The sequence below is a fragment of the Homo sapiens genome, chromosome 21, assembly GCF_000001405.40.
Source record: "Homo sapiens chromosome 21, GRCh38.p14 Primary Assembly".
NCBI classification, from domain to species: Eukaryota; Metazoa; Chordata; class Mammalia; order Primates; family Hominidae; genus Homo; species Homo sapiens.
Window position 1 is genome coordinate 5,551,044 of NC_000021.9, and position 15,119 is coordinate 5,566,162.

General features: G+C 42.0%; 1 long non-coding RNA gene across 1 annotated transcript in view; it reads left to right on the forward strand.

Moving 5' to 3' along the window:
• The first annotated feature begins 2,593 nt into the window (after window positions 1–2,593).
• The window catches only part of LINC03104 (long intergenic non-protein coding RNA 3104), a 38,368-nt gene continuing 25,842 nt past the window's right edge, over window positions 2,594–15,119 (forward strand). Inside the window, exon 1 of the long non-coding RNA NR_170984.1 lies at window positions 2,594–2,795. This is a non-coding gene — a long non-coding RNA (long intergenic non-protein coding RNA 3104). The remainder of the gene's footprint in view (window positions 2,796–15,119) is intronic.

Here is a 15,119-nt window from a genome sequence, read left to right on the forward strand (position 1 = left end):
TTCAGGGTCTAAACTAGCAAATCAGGACACCTGCAGAGGACAGTTGGCCGTTTTCAAATAGAAAGAGAAATACCCCCGTTCATGAGAGTAATCCAGTGATTTTCAAAAAGACAAGTCAGACTGACATGCAGCGCAGTCAGGCCACAATTACCCTGGAATAATCACTTCACACAGAATGGTTGAGGAGACTTTCTAAGATGAGCAAATTTGGGCAGCATAATCCTTGCTTATTTATTCCCAGCCCCCACTGCCCGCCTGATTCCTAATGGCTACCCTACAATGTGGTCAGCAGTGGGATGTAGCGTGGTGAGAGAGGGGCTCAGGGACGGGATGAAGGTCTTTCCTGCATTATCAAAATGCAGGTTAAAAAGTTGTTAAAAAGATGTCCAAATGTTCTAATTCCTACTGTTAAATAGCTGCTAAGATGCATTATACAACAGACCCAGGTAAGGGAAGGAGCATGTGCATTTCAAGTCTCAGCTCACTTCTTAATTAGCTGTGATACTCTGGGCAGGTGACCCCAACTATACGAGCCTGTGTGCCTGTCAACCCAAAACAATCCTAAGCAAAAACACCAAAGCTTGGGGCATCTTGCTACCCGACTTCAAACTATACTACAAGGCTGCAGTAACCAAAACAGCACAGTACTAATACCAAAACAGATATATAGACCAATGGAACAGAACAGAGGCCTCAGTAATAACATCACACATCTACAACCATCTGATCTCTAACAAACCTGACAAAAACAAGCAATGGAGAAAGATTTACTACTTACCAAATGGTGCTGAAAGAACTGGCTAGCCACATTCAGAAAACAGAAACTGGACCCCTTCTTTACATCTTATACAAACATTATCTCAAGATGGATTAAAGTCTTAAATATAAAACACCAAACCACAAAAACCCTAGAAGAAAACCTAGGCAATACCATTCAGGACATAGGCATGAGCAAAGACTTCAGGAATAAAATACCAAAAGCAATCACAACAAAAGCTAAAATTGACAAATGAGATCTAATTAAACTAACGAGCTTCTGCACAGCAAAAGAATCTATCATCAGAGTGACCAGGCAACCTACAGAATGACAGAAAATTTTTGCAATCTATCCATGTGTCAGAGGTCTAATATCCAGAATCTACAAGGAACTTAATTTCACACACACACAAAAAAAAAACATCAAAAAGTGAGTAAAGAATATGAACAGACTATTCTCAAAAGAAGACATTTGGCTGGGCGTGGTTGATCAAGCCTGTAATCCCAGCACTTTCAGCCATGGAGGCAGGTGGATCATGAGGTCAGGTGTTCAAGACTAGCCTGGGCAACATGGTGAAACCATGTCTCTACTAAAAACACAAAAAATTAGCATGGTGTTTTGGCGGGTGGCTGTGATTCCAGCTTCTTGGGAGGATAAGGCAGGAGAATCACTTGAACCTGGGTGGCAGATGTTGCAGTGAGCTGAGATCCTGCCACTGCACTCCAGCCTGGGTGACAGAGCTAGACTCCGTCTTTAAAATAATAATAAATAAAATAAATAAAAAGAAAAGGAAGAAGGAGAAGAAGAAGAGGAAGAAGAAGAAGAAGAAGAAGAAGAAGAAGAAGAAGAAGAAGAAGAAGAAGAAGAAGAAGAAGAAGAAGACATTTATGTGGTCAACAAACACACAAAAAGGAAAAAGAAAAAAGCTCATCATCACTGATGATTAGAGAAATGCAAATCAAAACCACAATGGGATACCATCTCACACCATTTGGAATGGCAGTTATTAAAATGTCAGGAACAACAGATGCTGATGAGGCTATGGAGAAATAGAAACGCTTTTACACTGCTGGGGGCGGGAGTGTAAATTACTTCAACCATTATGGAAGACAGTGTGGTGATTCCCTAAGTATCTAGAACCAGAAATACCATTTGACCCAGCAATCTCATTACTGGTTATATACCCAAAGGAATATAAATCATTCTAGCATAAAGACACATGCACTCATATATCTATTGCAGCACTGTTTACAATAACAAAGACTTGGAACCAACCTAATGCCCATCATTGATAGACTGGAAAAAGAAAATGTGGCACATATACACCATGAAATAATATTCAGCCATAAAAAGAATGAGTTCATGTCCTTTGCAGGGACGTGAATGACACTGGAAACCATTCTCTTCAGCAAACTAACACGGGAACAGGAAACAGAACACCATATGTTCTCACTCATATGTGGGAGTTGAACAATGAGAACACATGGACACCGGGAACAAAACATCACACACTGGGGCCTGTTAGGGTGTTGAGGTCAAGGGGAGGGAGAAAATTAGGACAAATACCTAATGCATATGGGGCTTAAATCCTAGACGTCAGGTTGATAGAAGCAGCAAACCACCATGGCACATGTAAACCTATGTAACAAACCTGCACGTTCTGCACATGTATTCCAGAACTTAAAGTAAAACAAACTAACAAAAATGCACTAAGGCTGAGGGGGAGTGGGGGTAGGGGCAGGAGTCAGGCGGGGGTGGGTGAGTCCTGGAGTTTTATCCAGTCATTGACACTGATGTGGGAACAGCCCAATCAGGCGCGCAGTTGGAGAGGACAGGAGAGGAGGGCGTGGCTTCTGGCGTTTGGCGGGTCTTTGTCTCTTGCTGGCGCTGGCACAGGAACTTGGGATCCGTCTCCTCTTTCGCCTCCTCCGCTTTGGGAGCCCCGGGCTACTCTTTCACAGCCCCTGTTGCCCTGTGATCTGTAGGTCCTTGGGGACGCACAGTTAAGATGACAGGACATCCTGGAAGCTGGGAAATGGTGAGTATACGGGGTTCGGCATCCCGAGAGGGGACAGCAGGCTGTGAAACCGGCAGGACCGGCCCCCACGGTTAGCTCCGAGTCTCCCGCAGCTTGGCCCTCAGTCCCCTGTGGCTGCAAGATGGCCGCTGGGCCAGCATCGAGGACCCCCACATCCGGCCTGGCCCATCCGGTGCTGTCCCTGGGCAGCGCCCTGCTCTGCGCCCACAGCCATGAGTATTTCCCAGATTGTTCAGGGAGGCCTGGTGGGTCATCAGGGAAAAACTGCCACTGGGTGTTTGCGTGGGAGGAGCTGCGGCCCGTGGGGTCCCCAGTCTCTCTTGTTAAAAATTAACGGGAGTCTATGTTAAAACGTTAACCAGTTTATCTGAACAAACAGTGATTGGTGAAATGGAAAGCACCCAGCCATGATTTCTGGTCCACCAGAGGGGCATAAAGGAAAGGCTTTCATAAGATGCATGAGAAAGCAGCCCAAATTCAAAAATTGGTTCCAGTTATGTAGTCACCTTATTTGAACTATCCAGATGGAAATGTCCTGGTTACATATTCAGAGGTTAATTGCATGTTTGCCATTGGTTAAACGTGCATTTTGTTTCAGGCTAAGATAATGCTTTATAGGAAATGTATTTGAGTTAGGTTTTAGTTTTTGTTTTTTTTTTTTTAACCTATGAACCCAGGACACTAGAGCCACTTTAGTCTAATTTTCTGCTCTTTAATTATTTTAACACTCCAGAGGAGGACTGGTTTTCTCCTGTGTTTTTTTAATATATGGCAAGTGGAACCTCTAATCGACCACCCTGTTTTTCAGCCTAACTCAGGCTTGTGGTAAAATTATCAGTTCCCACTTTCTTTGCTGCATTCTCAAATGCAACACAGGAGAACAGCTTTCCCTTGCAAATTCACAATGCTGTTAACTATTTGTCCTTTATTATACATTTCATTAAAGTTTTCTATTATTGGATTTCTTTCTACTTCTCCCTACAGTTCTGCCCATATTTGCTTTTTATATTTAGAAGCCTCCCTTTTGGGTGCATAAATATATATAGCTATATTCACTTGACAAATTAACCTCTATTATTATTGTATGGTAAACTCATTTCATGCTTGTGAGAGACATTGCTAGAAAGTCTATTTTGTCTAATTTAAGCATAACTACCATTGAACTCCTTTGGCTATTATTTGCATGGAATATCATTTTCTATCCTTTCACTTTTAGCCTATGCTCTTAATTCATAATTGAGTCTCTTGTAAGCAGCATATTACGAGGTTTAAAAGTTTCATTTATCCACTCTGTCTGCTTTAGTCTCTTTTGGCTGTTATAACAGAATATCACAGACTGGTAATTAATAAAGAACAGAATTTTATTTGACTCATGATTCTGGAGGCTGGGAAGGTAAAAGAACATGTTACTGGTATCTGTTGAAGGTCTAGTTGCTGGATAATAACATGGCCAAAGATGTGAGGGAGAGACAGCTTTTTTTTTTTTAATATATAACAGATCCATTCTTGTTAAAATTAGCCCATTCCCATAATAAGAACATTAATCCATTCATGAGGGCAGAGTGCTTATAGCTTAATTAATTTTTAAAGGTTCCACCTCTTAATTCTTTCACATTGGCCATTTTATCCTAAATTTTGGAGATGACATTCAGTCTACAGAAGTATCTGTTTAGTAGATAATTTAATCTTTTTATTTGTAAGGTAGTGATAGGTAAGCAGTTACTATTGTACATTTGTAGTTTTCTGTCCATTTTAAGTTTGCTTCTTTTTTTTCTGGTTCTGTCTTTCCTGTGGTATTGTTCATTTTTGTTGAGACAAAGTTATGCTTTCTTGCTCAGACTGAAGTTCAGTGGCATATCACAGCTCACTGTAGCCTCAATCTCCTGGGCTCAAGCAATCCTCCCCCCTTAGCCACCCAAGTAGCTTGGACTACTTGGACATGTACCACAACACCCAAGGAGCTTATGATTCTTCCACCTTGGCCTCCAAAAGTGTTGGAATTATAAGCAGGAGCCACTGTATCCAATGTGTAATTTTTGTTGTTTGTGTATGCTTTAATTACTTTCTCTTTTTCTTTACTATGTTTTTTTTTCCCCCAGTGGTTATCATGAGACTTATGTAAAACCTCTTGTATTTTAATAGTCTAGTTTAAGATGATAACAATTTAGAGTATTCTGAATTTCAGTATGTATTTACCATTTTTAGTGACATTTATACTTTAGTATTTTTCATATTGTTAGTTAGCATTTCATCATATCAATGTGAAGATTTCTTCCAGACCTTGGCTGGAGAAGGAAAGAAGGTGTGTTTTGCCTGATTCAGGGACTATAGAGAGAACCAAGTTCTGCAGGCCTGTCACCTAAGTCTCAGATGAGTATGAATTCTTTTGTGTTTTTCACAGATTTTTGCAGTGGCAGGACCAAGTTCAAATGAGTCATAGCCAAGTTTACAGTAAGATGTGGTAGTATTCTGTTTTGAACCGAGGACCATGATTGGCAAGCTTGCCACTTGGTCAAGTGCTTACCCTCTAAAGATGTCTTCCTTGGTCTTTGCCTCCAGCTGGGTGTCACAAACTCTGAACTGGATTCTAAGGCTTTCATGAATGCACTTATGTTTCCCGTGGCAGCTGCATTATGTTGTGGGGGATGTGCATGCCGAACCTCCCATTCTGTCGTCTTGCTTATGTTACTCTCCTTTATGTTTCACTTTCTCAAATGAATGTCAAGCTGGTGATTTTTAGATTCAAAAATTCTAAAATAAATTGCTCAAATTTCCACATTATGTAAGCTATTAATAAAATGTCTTGTAGGTGCTACATATTTATTAAAATTTTTGGTTGTAATTTTAAGCTCACTGCAGGCAGAAAGGAATCATTAACATTTATATTCTTTTTTTTAGTCTGTATCTAAATGATGGTATATTTTAATTCCAGATATTTACTTTATACTGCAGTAATGCTCGTCATATTTTGCAAAATTTATGTTGTTCTTTTATTTGGAAATATAAGGCTTTTTTAGCTCTTGAAATCTATATTATAGTCATATAATTTTATTATGTTTTGTGGTAAGAAGTGCAGCAACATATTGAGAACATAATAAAATTATCCTGTATTTTTAATGATTATTTATTAAATTCCTCTCATTAGAGCCTGTTATTAATGATTGTAATGTATTTTCTGTATAATTTTACTGCAATTTATTAAATTCTAATGACTTAAATTGTCTGCTTTTCATGAGTGCACACAGTTGAATGCTGTAGATATCTAAAGAATTATTTTTCGGCCGGTTGTGGTGGCTCATGCCTGTATTCCCAGCACCTTGGGAGGCCAAGGCGGGTGGATCACGAGGTCAGGAGATCGAGACAACCCTGACTAACATGGTGAAACCCCGTCTCTACTAAATATACAAAAAATTAGCCGGGCATAGTGGCAGGCGCCTGTATCCCCAGCTACTCAGGAGGCTGAGGCAGGAGAATGGCGTGAACTCAGTGGACAGAGTTTGCAGTGAGCCGAGATCGCGCCACTGCACTCCAGCCTGGGCAACAGGGCAAGACTCTGTCTCAAAAAAAAAAATAAAAAAAAAAACGGTTATTTTCCATTGTAAATCTATGTTGTATTCAGGATTTTATGCACGAAAATCTCTCTTCTTATTTTCAAGTCCGTGTTATTGTGTTTCTTTTCTTGGGAGTTATGTTTTCTCAGATCAGTTAAATGTATTTTTATTTTAAAGCTTGATATCATCAGTTGAAAGATAATTTTTAGCTCGGTACACTTTATCTCAATGTGATGTTTAATATATGTGTGAATTAGCTGTGTTTGTTGCTTATAGATATATCTGTATGTTTTTCACTTATGTAAGTATGACATCTTTTTCCTTGTTTTTTTGTTTTTTTCTTTTCAGTTTCAGATAGGCTTTTTTTTTTTTTAAGAGAATTTTAAAACAGAGTCGAAAGAAGAGAAATCAGTTATTTGTCCTCTTGCAGGGTGGGGAGACAACTTCCTTCCCCACAGGTTTGAGGCTATGCCTAAGTGGTGAGTCTTGAGGAGATGCAGAAAGGATCCATCCCAGGCACTTGGCTGGACTTAAGTAAGCATAGCCTTTAGGCCACAAGACCTGATGGTTTGGGTACTGGTCTGGACATAAGTCCCCATCTTCCCAGAAATATCATCTTTTGTCTGCAACAACTGGCTGGAGAAATATTTCAGAAAGATGTGTGTCTGGAACACCCAAAGACATACTTTTCCTTTCTCCTTGGCATAGGCCTTGCAGCACTGAAGAAAGACCAGGTTTGCAATGGAGCCTTCAACAGTCTTCATCCCTATGGAACTCAGGGTCTCATAGGGTGACAGGAGAGGAGACAAAGCTAACTTGGGAAGAGTCTCTGTCCTTCAGCTTCTCCCCTACTGAAACACTATATATTGGGCCCACAGTTCATCACAAAACACACATGCTCTCTTTCTTTCTCTCACACCCAATCTTGGGAACCCAAAAACTTGATGGCAGGTAGCTCTGGGTATCCTTGGTCTGGCATTCACCCACTGGGAATCTAAGCTGTCCTAAAGCTCTTTTCAATCACTTCTCACTGTTTCCAGGCCCATGTGGGTAGGTGTTCCAGGCTTCATTCTTTCAGGCTGATCATAAAGGCACAGTGTGGGAAAATCCCCTACTGTGATGGCCATTGCTGGGAAGCAGGAAAGGCTAAGGGCCCACTGCTGCCCAAGGCTAGTATAGATGCCCTCTGCTCCACTCATGTCCTCAAAGACTGATATCAGGTGCAGCAGCTGCTGTCTGGAATGTTATCAAACCAGGACTGCACAGGCACTGCATTCTCTGTGTGGAAGACGTAAGAAGCAGGCGAGTTGTCCAGGATGAGAGTTTTCCTCAGGTCCCTCCCCAGATGGCTGAGGTCATTGACATAGCAGCCCTGGTGGAACAAACGTGACTCATGGGCTAGGCAACCCCAGAACACCTCACACTGGTCCAGCACACCCATCACAATGTGTCTGGAATTGGTGGGTTCTTGTTCTCACTGACTTCAAGAATGAAGCCACAGACCCTCACGGTGAGTGTTACAGTTCTTAAAGGTGGCATGTCTGGAGTTTGTTCCTTCTGACATTCGGATGTGTTGAGAGTTTCTTCCCTCTGGTGGGCTCGTGGTCTCGCTGGCTCAGGAGTGAAGCTGCAGACGTTCGCGGTGAGTGTTACAGCTCTTAAGGTGGCACATCTGGAGTTGTTCATTCCTCCAGGTGGGTTCGTGGTCTCGCTGGCTTCAGGAGTGAAGTTGTGGACCTTCACAGTGAGTGTTACAGCTCATAAAGGCATTGTGGACCCAAAGAGTGAGCAGCAGCAATATTTATTGCAAAGAGCAAAAGAACAAAGCTTCCACAGTGTGGAAGGGGACCCGAGTGGGTTGCCACTGCTGGCTGGGGCAGCCTACTTTTATTCCCTTATCTGGCCCCACCCACATCTTGCTGATTGTTAGAGCCGAGTGGTCTTTTTTCACAGGGCGCTGATTGGTGTGTTTACAATCCCTGAGCTAGACACAAAGGTTCTCCACATCCCCACCAGTGTAGCTAGATACAGAGTGTTGATTGGTGCATTCACAAACCCTGAGCTAGACACAGGGTGCTGATTGGCATGTTTACAAACCTTGAGCTAGATACAGAGTGCCGATTGGTGTATTTACAATCCCTGAGCTAGACACAAAGTTTCTCCACGTCCCTACCAGACTCAGGAGCCCAGCTGGCTTCACCCAGTGGATCCCCCACAGGGTCTGCAGGTGTAGCTGCCTGCCAGTCTGGCACTGTGCACCCGCACTTCTCAGCCCTTGGGTGGTTGATGGGACTGGGTGCCGTGGAGCAGGGGGCGACACTCATCCAGGAGGCTTGGGCACACAGGAGCCCACCGATGGGGGGGAGGCTCAGGCATGGCGGGCTGCAGGACCCAAGCCCTGCCCTGTGGGATGGCAGCTAAGGCCCAGCGACAAATTGAGCACAGCAGCTGCTGGCCGAGGTGTTAAGCCCCTCACTGCCTGGGGCCGGTGGGGCCAGCCGGCGGCTCCGAGTGTGGGGTCCGCCGAGCTCGCGCTGGCCTTCAAGCACTGCACGCCGCCCTGGTTCCCACACGCACCTCTCCCTCCACACCTCGTCGCAAGCTGAGGGAGCCGGCTCCGACCTTGGCCAGCCCAGAAAGGGGCTCCCACAGTGCAGCGACAGGCTGAAGGGCTCCTAAAGTGCCGCCAAAGTTGGAGCCCAGGCAGAGGAGGCCCGGAGAGTGAGCAAGGGTTGTGAGGACTGCCAGCACGCTGTCACCTCTCAACAGGATCTGCATACTTGTTCAGTCTGGAATGAAGAGAGCAATGAAGAAAACACATTTAAACAGTTCCTCCAGTCATCTCAGGAACTCATCCATATAAGGCCTCATGGTCCCCTCAATCTTTACAGTCACTAGGCAGTCAGCATTGCTGATTGGCTTAATGGAGCTATGCACAAGGGTTTCATCCATGTCAGTGACCATACAGATCGTTCCTTGATTTTTCTCTGTCACCTCTGGGAGCAGGCAGGTCCCTGGGATCTGATAAAACTGATACTGGAGACACTTGAGCTGATCCGACTTAGCAATGGTGTTGACTCCCTCCTTATGTGTGGAGAACTCAGTGGGGGAACTTGACTTGCCAACATGCTGGGTGCAAGAACAGCAGAAAGGTACCTTCTAAGATGTCACAAACATGAGGCCTCTTCGGAGAGCACTTTGGAAACCAGGCCTTGCTTGCTAAGGACCAGGGCATCTTCCCTCCATGCCTGGGTGGTGATGGAGCCTGGTTCCATCTAACAATCCTGAGGGCTCGGCTGGCTGGGTGGGAAGACAGCGGGCACGTTGGCTGGACTGGGCTGGGGGGCATGGGCTGGGGCCTGATTCAGTTCCCGAGAGTCTGACTTCCACAGCTGTTCACATACCCCTTCTCCTTTCCATCACAGGCCGGGAAGAGAGGCGGCCTGTAGGGACGGTGGATGGCCTTGGCAGCAGCTCCCCAGGGTGCCCCCAGCCCCAAATCCCCCAGCAGGAGCTTCAGGATCTTCAGTTTGGGTCTAACCTAGGGAATCCACCTCATACTCATGTTTTTTCAAGTTTTATTTTAAGTTCAGTGGTCCATATGTGATAAGCTTTTTTTTCAACTTTTATTTTAAGTTTAGGGGTCCATGTGCAGGATATGCAGGTCTCTTACATAGATAAACGTGTGCCATTGTGCTTTACTGCACAGATCATCTCATCACCCAGGTACTAAGCCCAGCATCCGCAGCTATTCTTCCTGCTGCTCTCCTTCCCCTCCCCCATGCCATGAAACAGGTGTCCAGTGTGTGTTGTTCTTCCTGATGTGTCCATGTGTTCTCATTGATCTGCTTCTGCTAATAAGTTAGAATAATAATAGGTGGTGTTTGGTTTTCTGTTCCTGCATTAGTTTGCTGGGAGTAATGGCTTCAAATTCCAACCATGTCCCTGCAAAGGACATCATCTCATTACATTTTATGGCTTCATAGTGTTCCATGGTGTATGTGTACCACATTTTCTTTATCCAGTATATCATTGATGGGCATGTAGATTGATTACATGACGTTGCTATTGTAAATATTGCTGCAATGAACATATGTATACATGTTTATTTAAAATAGATTTATATTCCTTTGGGTGTATGCCCAGTAATAGTATTGCTGGGTCAAATGGTATTTCTGCTTCTAGGTCTTTGAGGAATCTCCACACTCTCTTCCACAATGCTTGAAATAATTTACAATCCCACCAACAGTGTAAAAGTGTTCCCTTTTCTCCACAACCTCACCAGCATCTGTTTTTATTTCTTTTTTACTTTTTATTAATAGACATTGTAATTGGTGTGAGATGGTATCTCATTGTTGTTTTGATGTGTATTTATCCAGTTATCAGTGATGTTGAGCTTTCCATGTTTGTTGGGCACATGTATGTCTTCTTTTGAGATATGTCTGTTCATGTCCTTTGACCACTTTTTAATGGGGTTGTTTGTTTTTCTCTTGTAAATTTTAAGTCCCTCATAGATTCTGGGTATTAGATATTTGTCAGATGAATAGGTTGCAAAATTTTTCTCCCATTCTCTAGCTTCTCTGCTCTGATGATAGCTTCTTTGGCTCTGTGGAATCTCTTTAGTTTAATTAGACCCCATTAGTCAATTTTTGCTTTTGTTGCTATTTCTTTTGGTCTTTTTGTCATCAAATCTTTCCTCATGACTATATCCTGAATGGTATTTTCTAGATTTTTTCTTCTAAGGTTTTTATAGTTTTGGGTTTTACATTCAAGTCTTTAATCCATCTTGAGTCAATTTTTGTCTATGGTGTTAGGAAGGGTTCCAGTCTTAATTCTCTGCACATGACTAGCCAGTTATCCTAGCACTATTTATTGAATAGGGAGACTTTTCCCTAATTCCTTGTTTTTGTTGACTTTGTCAAAGATCAGTTTGTTGTAGGTTTTTGGCTTTATTTCTATGCTCTCTATTTTGTTTCATTTGTCTATGTGTCTGTTTCTATACCAGTACCATGCTGTTTTTGTTACTGTACTCTTCTAGTACAGTTTGAAGTTAGGCAATGACCCTTTCAGCTTTTTTTTTTTTTTTTCTTAAGGTTGGCTTGGCTATTTGGGCTCTTTTTTGGTTCCATTTTAATTTTAAAAAGTTTTTTTTTTCTAATTATCTGAAGAATGTCAGTAGTTCAATGGGAACAGCATTGAATCTATAAATTACTTAGGGCAATATGCTCATATTCGTGGTACTGATTCTTTCTCTCCGTGAGCATGGAATGTTTCTCCATTTGTTTTGTGTCCACTCTGATTCCTCTGAGTAGTTGTTTGTAGTTCTCCTTGAAGATATCCTTCACTTTCCTTCTTAGCTGTATTCCTTGGTATTTTTTTCTCTTTATAGCAAATGTGAATGAAAGTTCATTCATGATTTGTCTCCCTGCTTGCCTGTTGCTTGTGTATGGGAATGCTAGCTACTTTTGCAGATTGATTTTATATCCTGAGATTTTGCTACTGCTGCTTATCACCTTAAGAAGCTTTGGGGCTGAGACGAAGAGGCTTTCTAGATATAGGGTCAGGTCATCTGTAAACAAAGATAATTTGACTTTCTCTCTTTCTATTTGAATACTGTTTATTTCTTCCTCTGGCCTGATTTTCCTGGACAAGTTTTCCGAATGGGAGTTGTAATGCGAGTGGTGAGAGAGAGCATACTTTTCTTGTGCCGGTTTTCAGGGGGAATGTTTCCAGCTTTTGCATATTCAGTATGATATTGGCTGTGGGTTTGTTGTATATGGCTCTTCTTATTTTGAGGTATGTTTCTTCAGTTCCTAATTTATTGAGAATTTTAAACGTGAAGGAATGTTGAATTTTATTGGGTGCTTTTTCTGCATCTATTGAGGTAATCATGTGGTTTTTTTATTTAGTTTTCTTTATGTGATGAGTCACATTTGTTGATTTGCATATGTTGAATCAACCTTGCATCCTGGAGACAAAGCCAATTCCATTGTGGTGGATGCACTTTTTAATGTGCTGCTGGGTTTGGTTTGCCAGTATTTTATTGAGGATGTTTGCACAGTGTTCATCAAAGACATTGGCATGATGTGTTGTTGTTGTTGTTGTTGTATCTATGTTAGGTTTTGGTATCAGGATGATGCTGGCCTGATAGAATGAGTTAGACAGAACTTCTTTGTCTTCAATTTTTTTTGGATAGTTTTAGGAGAAAATGTACTATCTCCTCTTTACCTCAAGTCAAATTCAGCTTGCTTGGTAGGCTAGTTCTTACTGTCTCAATTTCAGAACACATTATTGATCTATTCAGGGTTCAGTCTTGTAGAGAGTTTATTTTGCAAGGAAATTGTCCATTTCTTCTAGATTTTCTGGTTTATGAGCATAGAGGTGTTTATAGTATTCTCTGATCGTTGTTCTTATTTCCATGGGATCAGTGATGATATCTCCCTTATTATTTCTATTTGTGTTTGGTTCTTTCTTTTCTTATTTATTTGCCTAACTAGTGTTCCATCTAGTTTATAAATTTTTTTTTTTTTCATAAAAACAGCTCCTGGATTGGTTGAGTTTTTTTTTTTTTTTTTTGGAAGAGTTCTCAGTGTCTCTATCTCCTTCAGCTCTACTCTGATCTTGGCTATTTCTTATCTTCTGCTAGCTTTCAGGTTTGTTTTCACTTGGTTTTCTTGTTCTTTTAACCAAGATGTTAGGCTGTTAACTTTAGATCTTTCTAATTTTTTTTTTTCTTGTGGGAGAGTTTCACTCTGTCACCCAGGCTGGAGTACAGTGGCATAATCTCGGCTCACTGCAACCTCCACTTCTCGGTTTTAAGTCACTTCTGCTGTCTCAGCCTCCTGAGTAGCTGGGATTACAGATGTGAATCACCACACCTAGCTAATTTTTGTATTTTTTTGTAGAGATATGGTTTTGCTGTTGGCCAGGCTGGTCCTGAACACCTGGTCTCAAGTGATCTGCCTACCCCAGCCTCCCAAAGTGCTGGAATTACAGGCATGAGCCACCATGACCGGCCCTTTCTAGCTTTTTGATGTGGACATTAGTGCTATAAATTTCCCTCTTTTCTTGGTTTCTAGTGATTATTTTATTCTATCTTGGTGAGTAGTCAGGGAAATAATCTTAAATTTACAATCAACTTATAGTTTAAATCTAAATAATTAAGTGAGAAGAACCCTTTGTTATTTGAAGGGGATGTTTGAAGATTTTGTAACCGTGCCTTTTAGGTAGTCCTAAATTTCTAATTGTAGTTAAAAACATGCCATTTTCATTTCTAACATTTTAAGTATATGGTTTAGAAGTGGTAAGTATAGTTCTATTTTTTTTTGCAATAGGTTTTAGATAATTTTTGTCTTACAAAAGTAAAAGTGAATACTCATTAATTCTGAAACAAGTTAGTTAGCTTGCTTTAGTTAGATAGCAAGAGAAGGGTCCCTGGAAAGTCCCTGGCCCTTGGGTCAGTGTCTCATCCCTGCATAATATAAAAGGAATCCTGGAAAAAATCAAGCTGCAGACACTAACAAGGTAACTAGCACATGGTGTTGTGCTTGGAGACCTGCCCATGGCTGCACAGACAGAAAAACCTCTGGCATATTTGGATAAAAACTTGTACAAACCTCCAGCTCACTGAGATAAGGGAACAAGACCGACCTGGCATAGAAATGCCTTTGTTTGTCCAGGCACAGTGGCTCATGCCCGTAATTCCAGCAATTTGGGAGGCAGAAGTGGGCGGATCACCTGAGGTCGGGAGTTCGAGACCAGCATGACCAACATGGAGAAAAATACAAAATTAGCCGGGCATGGTGCCTCATGCCTGTAATCCCAGCTACTTGGGAGGCTGAGGCAGGAGAATCACTTAAACCCAGGTGGCGGAGTTTGCTGTGGGCCGAGATCGCACCATTGCACTCCAGCCTGGGCAACAAGAGCAAAACTACGTCTCAAAATAAATAAATTAATAAATAATAAGAAAGTACATCTCAAAAACAAAAATGAAAGAAAGAAAGAAAAGAAAAAGAAAAAAAGAAACGCCTTTGTACTTTGTGCAGTCAGTGGGCTCCCAGGAAAATGTTTCTTCTCCTTTTGTGGGCATAAGCACAGTGGGCTCTGGTGCATTCCGGTCGACACTCTCCTTTATTTGGACTGTAAGTCAGACCTCTGTGAATAATTACTTCAGCCCCTGATTGCTCCCGGGACAAGCTCCTGCGCCAAGCTTTCACTTTAGCTTCTGATAAGTCCTGGGCCAATCTAAATAGCATCTATGAATCATCCCTTCAGCTCCTGATTGGTCCCGGGTCAAAGTCCTGGGCCAAGCTGAGCCACACTTTTTTCAAGACAGCCTGTTAACTAGGCACATTTCCTTCTCTTCCTTTCCCAGTCCATAAAAACCTTGGGCCCCAGCCTCACAGAGGTCACCCCATTCAGAAACTATCTCTGCTGGCAAAGAGCTTTCTTCTCTTGCTTATCAAACTTTCACTCTAACCTCACCTTTGTGTTCACGCTCCTTAATCTCCCTAGAAGTAGAACAAAGAACTTTCGATGCTATCTCAGACTATGAGAGACTGTTACATCTTGGTGCACTGCTGAGACTACAACACTTGGTTTCTTTGAGTTTGACTAAATATTTTACATAGGTGTAATTATACAGTTTTCCTTTTTGACTGTCTTGTTTTACTTAACAGAATGTTTTCGAGATTTGTCCTTATTGTAGTACTTTTCAAGATTTCCTTATTTTTAAGGCTGAATGCTATCCAGTGAATATACGTGCCCTGTTTGT